We start from the raw sequence: 20,946 nt of genomic DNA, 5'->3' as shown, positions 1-20,946 counted from the left end.
TGTTCAATATATCTTAACTACAGTAACAACAAAAACAATTATAAATCACTGCAGTGTGCATATTATGTGGACTAAATCCTAACTTTGAAACCCCAGAGTTTAACCCTGCTTTGCCCTTTAAATGGCATGGGAGTAATCATTTGGGAGGTTGTTGGTGTTGAACTGGGGCACAAACCTGGCTCTGCATCAGAATTATCTGCAATACCCTGGATCCCAGGAGACCGACTTAGTTGGAATCCTTTATACTTAGAGTGAAGCTTGGACACATGCATTTTTATGAAGATTTATCCATGATTCTGATGTGCACCCATGGTTGATAACAACTTTAATAGGGATGTAAACATAGTAATTACTCAATTGTAGTAGCTCAAGAATTATTACATCCTTGACTTTATGGCTAAGCTGGTTCCTGGGGATGCTGCTTTTCAAGATGTGGTTCCCTGGAACACCAGCATTAGAGTCACCCAGGGAGCTGGTTTAATTAAATGGCAGATTCCAGCTGGGCACAGTGGCTCATGCCTATAATCCCAGCACTTTGGGAGGCCAAGGTGGGTGGATCACTTGAGGTCAGGAGTTCGAGATCAGCCTGGCCAACATGGTGAAACCCCATCTCTACTAAAAATACAAAAATTAGCCGGGCGTGGTGGCACTTGCCTGTAATCCCCACTACTCAGGAGGCTGAGGCAGGAGAATTGCTGGAACCCGGGAGGCAGAGGTTGCAGTGAGCCAAAATTGTGCCACTGCACTCCAGCCTGGGCGACAGAGCAAGACTCTATCTCAAAAAATAAATAAAATAAAATAAATTGCAGATTCCTAATCTGCATGTCAGACCTACTGAGGACAATTCTATGAGGTAGACTTTCAGACCTCACGTATGTGAACCACCACCTTAGGAAGTTCAACAGGAAAACAACACAGCATGTCCATAATCTAGCAAGAAGAATGTCCCGTGCTTTGATGTGTCCAAATCAGCTGGGACAGATCCTTCCTGGATGTCAATCATGGCCAGGCCCTGTGACCTCTACCAGAGTGGCAAGAAATCACCAGTCCCGGTGCTATAGTTTCTAGGAAGGGCAGTATCTTGTGTTTAAAATGAATAGATACTAAGCAGCACCCAGAATGCATGTTATTTATATTTTAATTTGTTCTATGTTTAGATAAAGTTGGTCACGTTAAGTCTTGTAACTTAGTATTTTAGCAGGCACACTAAATGTTGGCAACATGAAATTACATAATAAGCATGGAGAAAAACATCCATTCTCATGCTCTCAACACCAAGTCCATCTAGTAGCACTGAGCAATACCGAGCAGCATCTTTCAGAACTGTGGTCTTTCTCCAATCCCAGTTTGTGAAACACTGTCCAAGCTGACACTTTTACAAGTCAGTTTGGGACTGGCTACATCCAAAATTTAGAGACACTCTACCAATAGGTTGTGGTAACTTAAGGATCTTCACCCAACAGGCCCCAGATTACACATGCCAATATTTGCCACTGTGTGCAGAGTCAGAAGCTTGATTCTTTTTCATTATTAGAAGTGTCAATTGTATGGAAAAACACTTGAAAAAGTTACTTGTGATACTAATTTATTCATAACAGAAAACTTCCTTGCCAAAGGACTTTGAAGACAGGCTTTCAGCTAAGACATAGCTTCCCATGAGACTCACTTCCATGAGTGCAGTAAATAGAGGGAAGACTTTGAAAGAAGTCATTGCCCCAGCAACCCCATCAGCAACATTTCTAACATGTCATTTTAATTGTGTTAAAATGCATCATGCTACACCCGAGGAAAGCACTGTTGAGATGATGGTAGAGCAAATCAATCTACCAGCGTTCTTTTGAGTTCTGTGGACTTTGGGACTGTGCTGGTTCCTGAGGAGGACATTATGGGTTCTTGGTCTGTGGCGTTCAGTGAGGAGGAAGATCAGTGAGGCATGGAGTCCTTCGAGAAGGCTTGCTAAAGGAGGTGGAACCTGGACTTTGGCTGTGGGTAGAACTAGAAGAGATAAATGAACACGGGAAGACAAACTAGATTAGAAGAATAAGGCAGAATTCCAACCAAGGCACCAAAGTGAAAGCAAGCATGGGACGTTCAGGGGCCGGCAGAGTCTGACTCATTCTACAAGGGGAAACGTGTTGAGGGAGGTGGGAGATATGATTGGTTGGGCAGGATGACATAAAACTCTAGAGTGCTATGTAAGCTAGGAAGAAGAATTTTAAACATGTGTCGGTAGGAAACAGGATGTCACTGACGTTTCTGAAAATCTGAGAGCTGGCAGGAAGGCAGAACAGAATGTGAATTATGAACCCAGGGTCAGCATCAAAGTGCATAGGTGTGAAGGTTGATGTTAGCTCTTGCATGCTTCGTGGCCTAGGCATGCGCTTCAACTCCTCATGCTTTAGTTGCCATGTATGTAAAATGAGAATAACAGTACCTCATAGAATTGTTGTGAAGATTAAGTGAGAGGATGAATGGAAATCATTTAGCACAGTGCTAAGTGGCTTGGAACAAGTGCTCCATAATGGTTGCTAGTGTAGCTATAAGACTGATCTGGTCTTGACATTTGATTTCTGAAGTCTGAGGCTCTGGAGGGTCACAGAGAAGACTGTTAGAGGAACTAGCTAGATATGAGGCAGGTAGAGATCCTAGAGTGGAATAATACAATTGTGACTGCAAAGGGACAGATGATTTGATTTGGAAAGAAAAGTATACAACTTAATCACAAATTAGGAAGAAGGATTAAAAAGAGGGAGTAAGTGTAAGGTGACTCAAGTTTTGATTGCATTGATAAAGGTGGTAGGATTTTTAGAAGGAAAACCTGAGTTGTAGAGGAATCATGAGGAATTTCATTTTGGACGTGTTTAGTTGAAACTAATGGCAAGACTCCAAGTGGAATCATCCAGTGGCAAAATTGGGAATAATCAATATAACTGTCTATATACATGTTAGTGATATTGCTTTAAAGTGCAGTGCAATATTTATATTGTTTTGCATGTATGCAAGTATACACATACATGTTCTCACAAGCTGAGATACACTAATCATCCAGTGGAAACTACAAAAACTAAGAACAGTTAGGAGACATGAACATTATGGAGACGAGAGCAGGACTGGAGGAGGAGATTTTCAAAGGCTTGATTGAAAAGAGCAAGGTTATCCAAGGACACTTGGAAACAGAGTGAGGCTAGAGGAATTAGCGATTAGCAAGGCCTAGAGAATGAGTAGAGAGCCAGAAGAATTTGGAAGACAGAAAAAGAACAGAAAGTAAGCCAGAGATTTTTGGAAAATGAGTACTATTTCCAGCAATTTGTTATTGTTTTCTCCTTCCTGGAGGTTCTTTGCTCAGTAAAGTGAGCCTCGTTTTCATTCTCTTATGTTTTGTGACAATCATAGAGACAATTTTTATATTATGCTAAGAAATATTAGGATATATATTAGGATATAAACAAGTGCATTAAATAGGGTTACAAATTTAAGTTATGTACTGTCCATTTTCCATTTTCACCATCTTTTGATCAGGAGGAATTTTATTTATGTTGTCCTTATTTCCTATAACTTTTAGTGCTAAAAAATTCTCCTTGTTCAAAAATTGAAGCTTTCTTGTATCAGTTTCCATTCTGAATTTATGTCAATTTCTTTGCAAACCCTGATTCTATCCATAGTGTATTCATTATCACTACCATTTTCTCAATTTTTTAAAATAAAAGTGGTAAAATTGGAAGGAGGACAAGCAATAAAAACAAAAAAACTTTATTATTACCATGTTACTTTAAAACAACTATAAATAACAGAGAAGCAACCAGTTTAATAGGTCTTATGTTAAACTAAAAATGGGTTGTTTTTATCACAGAATGTTTAAAAATTTTTCCTAAAATTAGAATAGAGAATGTAGCTTTTCATTTATCATGTTTATTTCTTTAGTCACTCCTCTCACTATTTTTATTCTAACATATGGAATAAATAGCTCTGTGAGCTAGTATATACTTTATACTGCAACTTTCAAAACTTGAAGCACATTATATACCAATTCCCAAGGACTCTTAGAGAGAGCTACTCTACATTCAGGGGTAAAATTAATTGAAATCCCGATCTTTTAACAGTTCTCTATTTGTTGAATGAATGGTTGCTGCTGAAAAGTAAGTTAGTCCTTGAAGAAAGTCTGCATGTGTACAATGAAAGAAAAACTTAAGATTGAGGAAGAGAGAAGTTATTTGCAGGGCGTTTTAAATGGTTATTTAGAATTTCCCCCCCTTTTGGGGGTTGAAGTTTGGGCACCCTTGGCCTACCTCACGGATTATCAAGCAAAGGCAGGGGCCTAGTGGAGGACTAAGTGCTGACTCTCCTCCCTCACTTCAGCTCCAGCCAGTGGCCACTCACAGAAGGCCCAGGAAATTTATGAGGGAAACATGCTTACCCCTGATTCTAGATTAAGATGATTTGATGCTGTCATCCACCAAGGATGCTTTCTGCTACAAACTCCCTGCCAAAAGCAGCTTAAATAAAGAAATGGTATTTCATATTACAAGAAATTACAGGCCGAGCATGGTGACTCACACCTGTAATCCCAGCAATTTGGGAGGCCAGAGCAGGAGGATTGCTTGAGGCCAGGAGTTCAAGACCAGCCTGAGCAATGTAGCAAGACCCCCGTCTCTACAAAAAAATTTAAAAAAATTAACCAGGTTTGGTGATATGTGCCTGTAGTCCCAGCTGCTTGGGAGGCTGAGGCGGGAGGATTGCTTGAGCCTAGGAGATCCAGGCTGTAGTGAGCTATGATTACCCCACTACACTCCAGCCTGGATGGAAAAAAATAAATTTTGAGGTGGGGTGATTCTGAGGGTAGTTTCAGCATCAGGATTCTGAATTCTGGCTTCTCTGCGTACTCTTGGTGTTAGTCTCATGTTCTTAAGTAGCTAGCTATTCCAAGAAGCACCTCACACAGGCGGCATCCCGGGGAGGAGGGCCAAGCCCTCTCCTTTATACCATAAGTTGTATCACATGACCATGCTTACACCCATCCCCAGCAAGGCAAATGGACTTACCGTGGCCAATTTAGACTAATCAGTTTCACCATTCATAAACATTGCCACCTGAACCTGGGCAAAATTTATTTTTTTGTCAGCAGAGGAGAAGGATGGAATGACAGTTGCTGAGGGAGCTGACAGTGCCTACTACAGTATAACTCCTGCCACCTTCAGTCAATACAGTATTAACTTCCAGCTCCTATTCTAGCCCTAACTGGGGCCTGGGATCTGAGGCTAACCCGTTCCTAGAAAATGGTGCTTGTGCTGATTAAATTAGGTTGAGTGTTGGTTTGAGGCCTGTTGGGGCTAATTATAGCTAGCGCTGCGTTTGGCCTTGCTGTTTTCCCTGATTCCCAGACAGATCCCAGGAGCCTTTAAACTACCTGTTGGCTTTACAGCTCATCAGCGCCTCCTTGTGGTGTGTCCTACAGGTAGGTGGGGAGGGAGGCCTCCTTCCACCTTCCATCTCAGGGCTTGGGCTTTATTTACATCACTGAAATGGAACGTTCCCTGGCAGCACTGGCAACCTTTCAGGAACCAAGCATTCTGGAAATGCTCCCCTCCTTTCCTACAAAACCAGTCCACAATTTTTACTTAGCTGTTCCCAGAAAAGGACTGATAGAAGATGGGTTTTACCAGTGCTGTCTTGTTAGTATTTGCCAGTTGCTGTGTTCAGGGGTGGGTTTGCATACTGCCTCAGCTCTGCACTTGCCTCCCACCTCCTGCTCCTGGACATGGTCTTGGAAAGCAGCTCAGCTGCAGGCTCTGAGGATAAGGCTGCATTGTATGCAAGTAGTGTACAGGTAACAGCTGCAGCTCCTGGGTCATATATATATATATATATTTAGAAGTTCACCTGAGGCCAACAGGATTTAGAAGCAACTTTCCAAATTACCAGCTGAGGCTGCAGTCTGCTATTTTAATTTCACTCCCTCTGTACTCTGGTTAAGACAGCCACCACATACCTTTTTATGGTATCTTCCCTCCTGGACTTCATGCAACAAAATTTGCTCTGCGTTCATTCAGATCACATCCCCATGACCTGACTGACATGCACTGAAACTAGCTTTTTAGTAAATTCACATCTGACTTGAGAGGATCTATTTTTACTTTAAGTTGCATGGACCTAGCAAAGAATTATGGGCTGTAGATATAAATTGTCGCTTTTGAGTTGCTTTAGCCAAAAGGAGGGTTCTAGGCCACCTCAGAGCCACAAGGCTTTGTCACCCATTTTATTAGCCCAGGCAAGACCTCAGCCTCCTGGCAGTGGGTGGGTAAGAACTCCTTTTCATGGTTGTTTTAACTTTACAGAATTGAATGTCAGTGTCAGTTTATTGCCGTACTGTACTTGCTCAACTTAGACACATGGATAAACTACTTTGTTTCTGTAAAAATATTTATGCTATTTTATACTGTTGACATATTTTTAAAGGGATTATGATCCATTTTGTTATTTATTTTAGGGACATATGAATTTGATAATAATTTTATCTTAGCTTTAGTGATAAACTCAAGAAATAAATTCCCACATTTTTCTTTACCTTGGCTCTGCAAATCACCCATGTTTATAGTATGACAATCAAATTTTTGATGTTCATACTTTATTAGCATATGGAATTTTGCATAAATTAGGTAGCAATACCTTGTAGTTATGATGGGCACTGTACACATGTGTGTTCACATACATTCTTGTTCTACTAGTTTCTAAAGAAATAGAACCGCCTATTTAGTTGGAAATCTTAACTAAAGATAATTCAGAAATAGTTATCTTTAAAACCTTGCCGAGATGTTATTCAAATTAATGTTTATCTTTCTCGGAAAAGAAGTATTTCTCAACTGTAATAATAGAATTACCTTGATCATTGACTTTTTTTACTTAAAAATTAACACACAACAGTTATTACTAGATATCAAGTTTTAGAATTTAATGAGACTAATTCTCCTAGGCTCTTTTGGAAGCTGTTTTATTGAAGTACAGGAATTATTAAGTAGAGTAATCATTACCCTTGGGACTTGAGAATGAATTGTGCTTTCCATCCAGATAATTCTTTCATGAAAAATAGTGTACCAGGAAAAATGGCTGTGTATATCACTTTAAAAATAATTAAACAAAATTATTGTTGTTATGTTATTTTCCATTTGGATGACTCAGTATATTTTCTTGTTGTTGTTCTAGAAAGGTATACATGAGTGGAATTTTAGTGCCTCTTCTGTCAGGGGAGTGAGGTAAGTTTCCTTGGTACATTTTGTTAACTTATAAGACATTTTTCTCCACTATTCATGGGCTGGATAGAACTTCTAATCATGATTTTAAAATACAAGGAATGTCAAGAATCATTCAATTGGTGGAAATGCCCAGCCTTCTTCAGTGTCACTATCTCCTTTAGGAAGAGATTTGCAACAAAATGTTCACTGCTGGTTGAACTGATTCTGTGCTCCTGACCTACTTAAAATGTAACTGTGGGGTCAATGTGAACTATGGACCAGAATCAAAATGTAGATTACACTCAGCCATGTGGAGGTCCTCTTTAGCTGAGCTGTTGGTTTATGTAATAGGATGATTTCTGTCCTTTTGGTATACAAGGAACTCAGCTCCCTTTGTGTGGATACAAAGCACACATGCCGTCTACTACACTGTGTCCTGCCACTAATTTTATTTTATTTTATTTTATTTTATTTTATTTTATTTTATTTTATTTTATTTTATTTTATTTTTATTTTATTTTATTTATTTTATTTTATTTTATTTTATTTTGTGAGACAGAGTTTTGCTGTTTTCGCCCAGGCTGGAGTGCAGTGGCATGATCTCAGTTCACTGCAACCTCCGCCTCCCAGGTCCAAAATGTTCTCCTGCCTCAGCCTCCCAAGTAGCTGGGATTACGGGCGCATGTCACCATGCCCAGCTAATTTTTGTAATTTTAGTAGAGACAGGGTTTCACCGTGTTGGCCGGGCTGGTCTGAAACTCCTGACCTCAGTGATCCGCCCGTGTAGGGCTTCCAAAATGCTGGGATTACAGGTGTGAGCCACTCCGCCCGGCCCCTGTCACTAACACTAATGACTTCAGATGATAAGGAGTCCATTAAAAAAAAAAAAAACCTTCTGTAAGGTCACTTTCCTGCATTGATCTTGAGATTACAGTGGTGAACTTCAGTTTGGTTCAGTTCTGACTGCTGTCACAATGCCAGTAGCTTAGAAAATGCCATTTCTTGGGATTTAGAAATAATATATATATATTTTTTTAAGAATCAAGAGTCAGTGGTTAAGTCTTTAAATAATTGTTCTATTGAAGCTCATGCTAAATCAACTCTTGCAGATTTCAAACCAAATTAGATGTGCTAACTACTGTTTACCCCCACGTCATAGCAATGAGAGACAACAGATTTTTGCAGCCTGGTTATGCAATATCCTGTTGCTTTTGGAATAATAATAATTGGTTTTATTAGAGCATAAATTGGTAGAGCGGTCTGAGTCACTAATAATTGGAGTTCTCCTGGTAAAGCTACCTGTTACCTCATGAATGATCTGAACAGAAACAAGCAAGATGATGGACTGACTCATTATATATCTTTCAGTCGATACTTTCTCAAATAAAACTGTACTCTTAATATTTAATTTTTAAAGCCAGTCATTAGCAAGGCACTCACTATTTATTGCTGCATTTTTAAGCAATCCACTTAAGAAAGTATGGTAAATGTAAATTTCACTTTATCATATCTGTTTTCCAATGAATAAATTTTCTTTAATTAGGTATGGTAGCCCTATGTAACAGTTGTTGTGATTTATGACTTATACATAGGCTGCTACTATCTATCTTACTATTGCTGGCTTATATGCTGAGAAACTTGAGTTGTAGTCTGTGACTTCAAAGAGAGCTCATTCTTCCTGGCCTCCTCCTCCACAAAGAAGAGATGACAAACTATGGAAGAAAATCCAACTAGGTCAGCAGCTTGCCTTGCGTCACCTCAGAACTTGCACAGCTCGAGTTAGTGGGCATTAACTGAGCATGAGCTGTGTGTCAAATGTTGAGTCCTGTTCTGCCAAAGATACAAAAATGACTAAGACATCAACTCCTCTCTTGAGGAATTCACAGCCCAGCAGGGAGAGGAACAGACATTTAACAACTCATGACAATACAGTGTGAGAAGAGCAATGAAAGAAGTATACTCAGAGGACACAGGTGTAAGAGGAAGTCTTTCTGTTTAGGGCAGAAGTAGGGCAGGGAGAGAAGGTGAGGTCTAAGCTGGGCCTTAAATCGTGAATAGAGTTTCTTTTAAAAGTAAAAAACGACATGCATTCCAAATGGAAGGACCAGCAGGCACAAAGGCACAAAATAAGGATTGACAAACTGTGCCCCCTGGACTACATCTGGTCCTTCACCTGTCCTGTAAATAAAGTTTTATTGGAACACAGCCATGTTCATTCATTTATGCATCCTCTTAGGCAGCTGTCATGCTTCAGCAGCAGAATTACATAGTGTGGCCTGAAAAACCTAAAGTATTTTACTATCTGGCCTGTTACAGAAAATGGTTGCCAATCCCTGGCATAAAACAGCATGGCCTAGTGGGTCAACTGAAAACTGTTTCATATTGCCGTAAAGTCAGCCACTCACTGAGTCCTAACCGAGTGCACTTGCACATTGCTTCACTCCTCTAAAATCTCTATAATGAATGAGGTGCTTTTACTGCCTCCACAAATTGACTGCCTAGCTTTGGAAACATTTCATTGTTCTACAGATTGCATAGCACCAGAATCACCGAGGTTAGCCAGCCAGTTGGTATTTATGCTTTTCCTCCCAGCACACAGAATAGTGTAGTAGGCAGGACACCTTTCCCTGCTCTGTTGAAAGGATGTGTAGTTTACGTGTGCTTGCAACACCCTAGAGCAGCCCTGCTCTGCAGAGATGAGGAGGAGGACACCTCTCGGAAGAGTAAATCATTTTAGTAGTGTGGTGCAGGAAGTATCACTTTTTAAAGTGCTATTTATAACTTCTTGTTATAAACAACATTGATATAAATGGGATTGAATTTAAAACATTTCTTTTTCATCATAGGACTGTAGAAGAATTGATAGTTCTCTGAATAATGCCTTTTTGTTTGTTGGTTTCAGTATTTCTAAATTTGAAGAAAGATGCTGCTTTCTTTATGTGCTTCACAATTCTGATGATTTCCAAATCTATTTCTGTACAGAACTTCATTGTAAAAAGTACGTATTAGTCATTGTGTGTGAAAAAGATTCTTCTTACCTGATCATTATTTTCAAGTAATGAGTGAACATGTACCTCCTGTGAAGAATGCATGGCTATGTGGTTATATAAATATTTTATTTGGGCTAATATTTTATAATTATATCATAAATTTAACAGATTTTGGGGGGGGGTTTTCTTTAATAAGTCAAACTTTATCTTAGTCATAACTTATTTTCCCACAGATAAAACATTAACTAAGACTTATTGGTTAATTGTTAAATATTATAACTCATATTTTAAGTGCTCACTTACTGTATATGATTACCAGAATTTTCATTCTCAAATTCTTTTAAATCGTCTCAGTATTATCTACAATAGTACCTCTTTACCTTGGCTCATATTAGTTAGATCCACCTGGTAGGCTTTAAAAAAACATGCATGGCCCCCACCTCAGACTAATTATATTGGACGTTCTGGTGGGGGTGAAGCCTGAGTTAAGAGCCACTGATCTGATCTATACCAATAAAAGAGATCATCCAAAAATCCATGGACTGCATTGTATGTTTGTGTTTTTCTCCATTGTATGTTTCTCTTGGGCTAATAATTAAATTCTTCTTACTTCTTTAGAACACTATGATTGACTGTGGGAAACTAGAGAAGTGAGTGATAATTTAGAAGCCAAAGTGTAGGTGAAAGTTAGTTTGGACTCAGAATTTTGCTGGGGATTGTTCTTATTTAAATAATTACTATTTGAATCCATTATAAATGACTGATATGCTAGCTACAATATACAGTCGTTCATTTTTATCTTGGTGTGAAAAAGAAAAGTGTTTGTTGAATCCACAATTCTTGGCTCAAGCTTTATTATCATAAAACATATGGTGGGGGAAAAAAAAACACTTGGAAATAAGAAAATTCCTAGCTCTTGTATGGACTAATTCTCTACTTACACTTAAATTCTCAAGTCTGTTGACCTGTTTCTATGATAATTATAGCTAAAATTTATGAAGTGTGTGCCCCAGAACTAATATTTGTTTCAGTCTTCAAAGAAACCCTATTAGATGGGTAGTATTAATATCTTTATTGAAAAGAATTAAAAAAGTAGTCTTGGAGAGTATAGCCTAAAATCATGTAGTCAATAAGCATAAAAATCTGGGGTTTGAACCAGGCACAGGAGACTTCAGAATGGAAGCTTCTAAAAATTACGCTAGTGCTCCCATCCCACTGTCGAGTGTTATATTCTGCCTAGAGATGTTCATATTGAAAATTTTTGCATGAGTGGCTGATGCAAATCCTTAACCCAGATCTTAAATCATGTCTGTAACACCAGATTTTTTTTTGATCTTTCACTTTATTCTTCCTCTTGGTTAAACTAGCTTTTCTCTCTCATTCATTGTGCTATTTAATAGCGCAAACTGTTATTCCAATCAGGCTTGGGAATTTTTTTTCTTGTCATGGACCTCCAAGAAATGTGTGTAGAGACAGGAAGAGTGAGGAAGTTGATACCACATATGAACTCCATCAATGGGGTCCAAATTCCAAGATAGACTTTGTTCATCATCATGCTCTCAATGGCCAGAACAGTTCTTTATCCTAGTAGACACTCAGTGAGTATTTGTTGAATGAATGGATGGATGGGTGGGTAAGAAAGGTTCTGAGTTGTGTTAGGGGAACTTTTCTTATCACACCATAACCTGCTCTTCCCTTAAGCTGGCATCGCATAGCATGACCTGCCTGTGGGATCATCAGCCCACGTTCACAGTGCTTCCCGGCTTTATGTCTGTGAACCATCAGCCTCCTCTCTGAATGGCCTAGTCACAGCGAGCAGGATGCCAATCTGTTTCTCACTGTAATCACTTTGCTTGTCTCTGAAATGGTCTCTAGAAGAAAAAAAAAAAACTTTACAAGAAGAGTTCCTGAAGAAAAATGTATTTGAAGTGAGGCATTAGGTTAGAAATTTCTAGAAAATCCTACCAACCTGCATTTTCTTTTTGAAAAATTGTATTTTTCACATGATCTTGATAGTGTGTTATTGCCTGGTTCTGGAGACTCTCTTAGCTCTCAGTTTTGGTTCTGAAGTCACTTTGAGATGTACTTGCTTATATTTACTATTGTTTGTGTTATGAATGCTCACGTGCTAACTTGTATTGTAGGTTTTTTGAGATGGTGAACACCATTACCGAAGAGAAGGGGAGAAGCACAGAGGAAGGAGACTGTGAAAGTGACTTGCTGGAGGTAATGACTTAGGTGTCCATTTACATTTAGAGCTCATTTTAAAACAAACTATTTGAAGCCTTACTGAGGCAGGAGGCAGGGTGTATGAGGGGTAGGAGACTGTCTGTAGGCTTTCCTTTAGTGTTAAAAGCAACTTCCAGAATTCCTTTGGTAAAAAGGGGCTAAAAAGTAAACATTGGAGAATTCTTATTCCACAGCACCAAGCGTTAGCATTTTACTTACCTGATAGCGAGTAACTATGCTTTATCTATGACAGTGTCAATGCATGGGCCACGGTGTCCTTACACATTCTCTATTCTCCTCTGAGATATGTGCAATTCAGACAAAGAAGATTCACTGAAGATTCTGGTTGATAGCACCCTTGTGGCAGGCATTAATATGCTACACAGAGAACCTGAAACCATGGAAGATTAATGGAATTAAGAGAGGAGGGAATAACAATGACTTCAAATGTTGTTCCTCTCAACTGGAATCCTTTTATTAATGTCTAATGGACACAGAGCACTATGGATACCTACTTTTATATGGTTTTTATTTTTATTTTTATAGAGACTTGTTCTCGTTATGTTGCCCAGACTGGTCTTGAATTCCTGGGCTCAAGCAATCCTCCCACCTCGGCCTCCCAAAGCACTAGAATTACAGGCGTGAGCCACCGCACCCGACTGCTGGACACCTACTTTTAGTTTGTGTCCATTTTCTCTGCCATGTCTGCTGTGTGAAGAAGAGCCTTCCTCCACTGCAAGGACCAATGCTGGAGTGTGTCAACAATGCTGACTCCAGCATCTTCAATGTCTGAAGAATGACACTTCTCCAGGCTTGACACATGGCCACCATTTTCTCCAAGCCCTTCCCAGTGTTTGACTTGGGAGAGAACTCTGAATCCAAGTGACTTAGTCCATTGGGCTGCTGTAACAAAATACTGTAAACAATGTGGCTTGTAAACAGTAGACATTTATTTTCTTATACTTCTGGAGGCTGGGAAGTCCAAGATCAGGGTGCTGGTAGATTCAGTGTCTGGTGAGGGCCTGTTCCTCATAGAAGGTGCCCTGTTGCTGTGTCCTTACATGGTAGAAGAAGCTGGCTAGCTCTCTGTGGTCTCTCTTACAAGGCCACTAATGTTACCCTGCTCTGCCTTCAAGACCTAATCACCTCCCAAAGGCCTCACCTCCTAATAACTGCACCTTGGGGTATGATTTCAACATAGGAATTTGGGGAGGATACAAATATTCAGTCCATAGCACCAAGCCATACTGAAAATTATATTTTTAATGTTAAAGTGAAAATGAAGAATCTATAGCTCACCAGTCTAATTGGCATACTTATTTATTAGATCACTTTGATAATGTCATCTCATAAACTAAAATTTTTATAGAAACACTGAATTAGTAAGGTAACAGTTGAGAAAAAAATTTAATATAATAAATTGTTTGTTTTTTGAGACCGGCTCTTGCTGTGTTACCCGGGCTGGAGGTGGAGTGCAGTGGCACAATCACAGCTCATTGTAGCCTCTTGACCTCCTGGGCTCAAGCAATCCTCCCACTTCAGCCAGAGCATGCCACCACACCTGGCTAACTTTTTTTTTTTTTTTTTTTTTTTTTTGGTGGAGACGGGATCTCACTTTGTTGCCCAGGTTGGTCTTGAACTCCTGGGCTCAAGCAGTTCTCCCTCTTCGGCCTCCCAAAGTGCTGGGATTATAGGGATAAGCACCATGCCTGGCCTATAATAGCTAGTTGTTAACTCTGCCCGTAGTTAAGTTCTATGATTATCTAGCAATTGTATAGCTTTGATATTTGTAGTTAAGCCTAAGCCTCTTTCATTAAAGATGTAAAAAGATGACAGGCCTAATTTGGAAAAAAAGATTTCCTGTGCATTAGCTTGCTGTCTATAGAAGTAATAGATACTACTTCTTATTTATGTATGTTTTATATTTTACAATTTTTTATTTCTTATTCAAGTGATTGTTAGGAATTAGCTTTCTTGACTCCTACTTCAGGGCTCGTTTGATTATACCTTGTTATCTTTGTTTCTGTGTTAAATTTTGCATCACTTGATACATAGCAACTTGCCAAGGTAAAACTTAAAGAAATTGAAAATGAAACAATTCTATCAATCATATAGAATTATGAAGGGGATGACTGGAAAATTCATGAAGTATTCTTCAATGTTACAAATTTCTGGCTTTTTTTTTTTTTTTTTAAACCAGAGATAGCTATCCTTTGTTTCATGCCCTCCTTTCAGGAACTAACTGCATCTTACCAAAAATATGCATAGCCTAGCCAGGCTGTGGTGGCAGGTGCCTATCATCTCAGCTACTCAGGAGGCTGAGGCAGGAGAATCACTTGAACTCGGGAGGCAGAGGTTTCAGTGAGCCAAGATTGTGCCACTGCACTCCAGCCTGGGTGACAAGAGCAAAACTCCGTCTCAAAAAAAAAAAAGAGAAGAAAAGAAATTATTCTGAAGTCAGGTGTGGTGGCTCATGCCTGTAATCCCAGCACATTGGGATGCTGAGGTGAGTGGATCACTTGAGGCCAGGAGTTCGAAACCAGCCTGGCCAACATGGTGAAACCCTGTCTCTACTTTAGCTGAGCATGGTGGCGTGCACCTGTAGTCCCAGCTACTCAGGAGGCTGAGGCAAGAGAATTGCTTGAACCTGGGAGTTGGAGGTTGCAGTGAGCCGAGATCGCACCACTGCACTCCAGCCTGAGCTGCAGAGTGAGACTTGGTCTCAAAAAAAAAAGAAAAGAAAAACATAAGAAAAACATTCTTACATTTCTATCCTTTGCATTTCATTAGAATAATGTAAAATTTCTGACAGAGAATGGCTTCTACAGTATTCCCAATGGACTTTAGAGCCTGTAGGAAGAATTCAAGCAGACCGGCTTCAAGAGTCTTGGCTTAGTTTGCCATTGTGCCAGCTAGTGATATTGCTGATGTTTTTTGTGGGTGTTCTTTTAGCAAAACGTGAATGAATGCATGTTTACAGGGATGCTCTGGACTGGAGGATGGTGAAATCCATCGTGGTTGTCCCTCTCCCTGAATGTCCTTTTGTAGCCAGGGCATCTTTCCAATATGAATTATTAAGCCTTAACTTACATTTTTGCATAACTTATAACTCTCCATTATATATTTGGTTACATTTCTTAGATGTTTTCAACATTCTTTATTAAAGTTATTTTATCAGCATCCTGCATATTTGATTAAAATGAATTCTTTAATTTCATTACCACAAATTGAACTCAAACTTCAGCCCATGAATAACAAGCTAAAAATAATTCCTCCACTTCCCATTCTTTACAGTGGAAACAAAAAGAATGACTTTAGAGATCATCTGAACACAGTGATTAAGATTTGTATGCAGAATAATTATTTTCTGATGTTTACCTCAATTGAAGGTAGAATTAACATTGTTTCAATACATGCGTCAATTATTCCTGAAGCCTTTGGCTACCTTGGCCCAGAACAAAATAAAAATGTTGGAAAGGCCAGGAAATGCTACTTAATGTTTTTAACTTCACTTAGGGTGTTGTCAGCAGTCAGCAAAACAGTAACTATTAATGTGATTCTATAAACTACAAATGTGAAACTAATTCCTAGAATTTGAAAGACTTCTTAGAAGCCCAAGGCAATAACTCCTTTTCTTTTTGATTGGAACAATAAGGTTTATTTGAAGCAGTACAACTGTGGGTGGGATTTGGCTTCTTTCAGGTCACCAGCCCCTTCTTCCTTCTGATTCAAGCTGGATCTACTAAGAACTCCAGGCTGGGGTCAGGAGCCTTGGGCCCTGGTTCTGACTTTGCCAACAGTCAGTTTCATAACCCCAGACAAAGTTCATACTCCCGCTGGGCTAAGATGACTTCATTCCTTAAGTTAGAGTTGAAAAGAATATATATATATATATACATATATTTATTTTATTTTATTTTTTTTCAGACAGAGTCTTGCTCTGTCACCCAGGCTGGAGTGCAGTGGCATGATCTTGGCTTACTGCAACCTCCACCCCCGGGTTCAAGCAGTGCTCCCACCGCAGCCTCTTGAGTAGCTGGGATTACAGACGCCCACCATCATGCCCAGCTAATTTTTGTATTTTCAGTAGAGACAGGGTTTCACCATGTTGGCCAGGCTGGTCTTGAACATCTGACCTCAGGTGATCTACCCACCTCGGCCTCCCAAAGTGCTGGGATTATAGGCGTGAGCCACTGCGCCTGGCCAAGAGCAAGAGGATCTTTAATGTCTTTTCCTACCTCTAATTTTTAAAATAATATTCAAGATTGGTATAAATTGTACAAGGTTATTTCAAATATAATGCAATACCACTTCTCAGAGAAGGATTTTCTGTCTTTTAACAGAAAGAAAATCAATTTCTTTTGATTCAAGGCTATGTTTTTTGACTCAAGGATGTATTTTGACGTGGAAGGGTAATGAACTCATATCTCAAGTATTTTAATATGTTATTATTATAATACTTTTATATTGAAATCATCAAACAATTGATCAGAGTTAACCAGCCTTGGTCTCCATTGTTCTTCTTCCTGCCTTCCATGTCTTCATTAAAAGTAAAGGCATCCAGCAACCCAAGCCAGATTCCTGAGAAACCCCTCCCAAACCCGTCTTAATCCCTCATGCCCGTTCTTTCCTGCAGCCCCTTCATTTCATCTTCTTGGTCACTCCCCTGATCTCAGGTCTTCATCCTCTATCATAGCCTAACATGTCTCATGCTTTGTCTCTGTTATCATCAGAGAAATCTCTCATACAGATTTAATCCTGCGACTCCCCAGATTAAAAACCTTTGATGCTCCTTTTTGTTTTTTGATACAGAGTCTCACTCTGTCACCCAGGTGGGAGAGCAGTGGCGCAATCTCGGCTCACTGCAACCTCCGCCTCCTAGGTTCAAGCAATTCTCCTGCCTCAGCCTCCTAAGTAGCTGGGACTACAGGCATGCACCACCATGCCCAGCTAATTTTTATATTTTTAGTATGGAGTTTCACCATGTTGGCCAGGCTGGCTTTGAATTCCTGACCTCAAGTGATCTGCCTGCCTTGGCCTCCCAAAATGCTGGGATTACGGACACGAGCCACCATGCCCAGCTGATGCTCCTTTTTGTAGAAGGAAGTATTTGCACCATACAACATTCTCACCCCCTCTGGCTGTAGCTTCCCCTTTCCTTTCCACTCTGTGGTCCAGCGGTGCCAGCCTCCTTTCCACTTTCCAGGTGGCCATGCTTCTCCGGCCTCTGGGCTTGACATGCAGACGCCCAACCTCACAAACTTTTCTCCTCAGTCCCACTTAGTGACCAAAGCCTTAATTTTTCAGATCCAGGTCCTGTGTCCTTTTCTCTTTGAATCATTTCTCAACTCCCCTTCTTGCTTTTCTCTGTTCTCTTAGCATTTTGGCCCACTCCTCTGGCCTAGCTCTTCTCCATGCATTGTAATCTGGTAGCCTGCACTGGACTGGACTGTTAATGTCCCATGGCAGGATGGTGGCTTTTTGCCCTTTTTAATCACATGAGCTCACATGGTGCCAGGTGTCCAAGTAAAAGAGATTCAATCTGAAGGGTTTGAAGCTGGGCAGTGACAAAATCAGAGTTGTTTTAATATTAGGTTGTAGCAATAATGGCAAAAACCACAATTACTTTTGCACCAACCTAATATCTCAAACTGGGAGGAGAGAGATATGGATGGGAGAAGGCCTCCAATCCATATGGACCTCTCTGCTTGAGCCCGAGAGGTCAAGGCTGCAGTGAGCTAGGATTGCGCCACTGCACTCCAGCCTTGGTGACAGAGCCAGACCCTGTCTAAAAAAAAAAAAGAAAAAAAAAAGTGACATTATTTTCATTTGACTCAAATATCTGCAGGAAGATGGAAGACCTTACTGTTTTCTTTTCTGATGATTGGCCTCATATACCTTAGTAATTATGGTTCAGAATTTATTTTAGTCAGTTTGGAATCATCATGTAGCAAACTCTTTTTTAACATCCTATTTCTATTTTTGTGCAGATATGAAGCTGAATACCCACAGTTACTTCCCTGCCTGAGAAAATACATCACTTATAGTGTTGTATGATATGAGTATCAATTTGTTATTCATTCATTCATTCTGTTGGGAACGGGGAAAAGCCTTTTTCTTGTACCAGCTTATGTTCAATGGTCAGGGGCCTGCAAATTAACTGACAAAAGACAAGTTGACAGGAGAGCAGACAAACTTTATTCTTTTGTTTTGTTTTATTTTTGAAACAGAATCTCCCTCTGTCCCCCAGGCTGGAGTGCAGTGGTGTGATCTCGGCTCATTGCAGCCTCTATCTCTTGGGCTCAAGCGATCCTCCCACCTCAGCCTTCTGAGTAGCTGGGACTAAGGTGTGCACCACCATGCCTGACTAATTTTTGTGCTTTTTATAGAGACAGGGTTTCACCATGTTGCCTAAGCTGCTGCCTTGGCCTCCCAAAATGCAGAGATTACAGATGTGAGCCACCATGCCTAGCCAAAATTTATTCATGTAGTCAATGCTAAGTCAATGAAAGAGACTTACACAAAGAATTGGCTCCCTAAACAGCTAGAGTTGAGTGTTTATATATCATCTTAGTAAGAAAGAGGGTTAAGACTTTAAGAAAGTGTATGGTGGGAGACTAATGAGAAATAAGTGTGAGGAACAGAAAGTTTTGATAAGGTTTTGTTTATGCAACATCTCCTCTAGGTGCAAGTGGTCTATCTCCTCTTTGGTCATTAACCTCCTGGAGAGGAAATAAATGGCAGATGTATTTTAGGAGGCATTGCTTATGTCCGCAAAAGAAATTTAGATAAGGTTTTTTTCTGCTGCTGCTGTTTTTCTGATGTTTTCAGCCTAAAATCATCTTCATCCACATCAGTGGGTCCAAATGGATCTCACTAATGCACTCACATATTTTTGGACAGCTATTGAATGGTAGGCACCATTCCATGTGCTGGAGAGATGGCAGAGAACAAAATGGAGAGAAATTCCTGCTATCACTGAGAGCTTACATGCTCTCATCTAAGTCTTAATCGGGCCCAACTCTGCTTAGCTTCCGAGATCAGAAGAGATTGGACGCATTCAGGGTGGTATAGCTGTAGACTCAGGTTACTTTCTAATGAGAGACGGACAATAAACACAAATAAGTAAAATACCATCTATAGTATGTTAGATGGTGATCAGGGTTAAGGAGAATAATAAACCAGGGAAGGGTTTAGGAAGTTACAGTGTAGCAGGGACGTGCAATTTTAGATAGGAAGGCCTGGGAAGCTCATTAAGAAGGTAAGATTTAGGCCGGGTGTGGTGGCTCATGCCTGTAATCCCAGCACTTTGGGAGGCAGAGGAGTTGGATTGTTTGAGGTCAGGAGTTTGAGACCAACCTGGCTAAAATGGCGAAACCCCATCTCTACTGAAAATACAAAAATTAGCCGGGCATGGTGGCAAGCGCCTGTAATCCCAGCTACTCGGGAGGCTAAAGCAGGAGAATCGCTTGAACCTAGGCACTCCAGCCTGGGCGACAGAGTGAGACTCTAAATAAATAAATAAATAAATAAATAAATAAATAAATAAATAAATGAAGGTGAGATATGGCCGGGCGCCATGGCTCACACCTGTAATCTCAGCACTTTGGGAGACCAAGGCGGGTGGATCATGAGGTCAGGAGATTGAGACCATCCTGGCTAACAAGGTGAAAGCCCATCTCTACTAAAAATACAAAAAATTAGCTGGGTGTGGTGGCGGGCACCTGTAGTCCCAGCTGCTCGGGAGGCTGAGGCAGGAGAATGGCGTGAACCTGGGAGGCGGAGCTTGCAGCGAGCTGAGATTGTGCCACTGCACTCCAGCCTGGGCGACAGAGCGTGACTCCTTCTCAAAAAAAAAGGTGAGATGTGAGTAAAGATCTAAGGGAGGAGAGATCCATCACACTAGATATTTGTACCTGCAGTGTTTTTGGCATTCTATTAATGTTATTAGTAGTTATTAATGTTTTGGCATTTACATATAAAGAAGGCCATACAGACTGAACATTAACAGAGCTGCCATTTGGGTCTTTGAGGTGATTACTCACCTAATGTGATTAAGCCCCCGCCGAAAGTGCATGGTTTTTTCTAAGGTGGTTGTTTCCTTCGAGAGTGCAAGGACTCAGTGAGTCACCACTTCGTTGTTTGGCCTTGTCAATGTTGCCTTCCTACACTGATTCTCTTCCCGCTACCAGTTTTGATTGTTCTGAGCAGACAGCAATAAAGAGATGATTCTAGAAAAATTCTCATGATTGCCTCAGAATGAAATTCTTGTTTCCCTTAGCAACAACCTGATTTGCTAACCTATTACCATAGAAATAGAATGCAAAATATATAAGCAATGTAATGTTACCTTTTATTTTTTAAAACCCTCTCTTCTACTATTCCTGGACATTACATAGATGATTCTCTGTCCTTCTAGGCTGAACCAGTCTCTTGTTTCTTTTCAGCTTTCTTTCAAAACTGCCATTTCAATTTCTATCTTTATCTCGTAAGAATAGAAA

The 20,946-nt window shown here is 40.1% G+C and overlaps 1 protein-coding gene, 1 long non-coding RNA gene and 1 pseudogene across 11 annotated transcripts in view; 1 reads left to right on the top strand and 2 right to left on the bottom strand.

The window, feature by feature from the left end:
- Positions 1 to 20,946, top strand: part of MAP3K5 (mitogen-activated protein kinase kinase kinase 5) — a 236,046-nt gene that overhangs the window by 143,325 nt on the left and 71,775 nt on the right. For 8 of the 10 annotated variants that reach the window (XM_017010875.2, XM_047418784.1, NM_001438058.1 and 5 more), the window contains 3 exons: positions 7,198 to 7,247; positions 10,129 to 10,224; positions 12,361 to 12,442. In XM_017010875.2, the coding sequence (XP_016866364.1) occupies positions 7,198 to 7,247; positions 10,129 to 10,224; positions 12,361 to 12,442 (228 nt within the window). Of the gene's footprint in view, positions 1 to 7,197; positions 7,248 to 10,128; positions 10,225 to 12,360; positions 12,443 to 12,991; positions 14,952 to 20,946 lie in introns of those variants that run through there. The other 2 variants (XM_047418786.1, XM_047418787.1) reach the window with 2 other exon arrangements.
- On the bottom strand, positions 1,569 to 20,653 carry MAP3K5-AS1 (MAP3K5 antisense RNA 1). Its single transcript, NR_125858.1, has 3 exons — positions 20,491 to 20,653; positions 12,665 to 12,836; positions 1,569 to 1,995 (listed from the first exon to the last, which is right to left on the bottom strand). It is a non-coding gene; the product is annotated as an MAP3K5 antisense RNA 1 (long non-coding RNA).
- Positions 19,412 to 19,524, bottom strand: RNA5SP219 (RNA, 5S ribosomal pseudogene 219; annotated as a pseudogene).

The sequence above is a fragment of the Homo sapiens genome, chromosome 6 (assembly GCF_000001405.40).
Source record: "Homo sapiens chromosome 6, GRCh38.p14 Primary Assembly".
Classification (NCBI taxonomy): Eukaryota; Metazoa; Chordata; class Mammalia; order Primates; family Hominidae; genus Homo; species Homo sapiens.
Note: the sequence above shows the minus strand (reverse complement) of the source record. Positions and strands in the feature narration are given on the sequence as shown.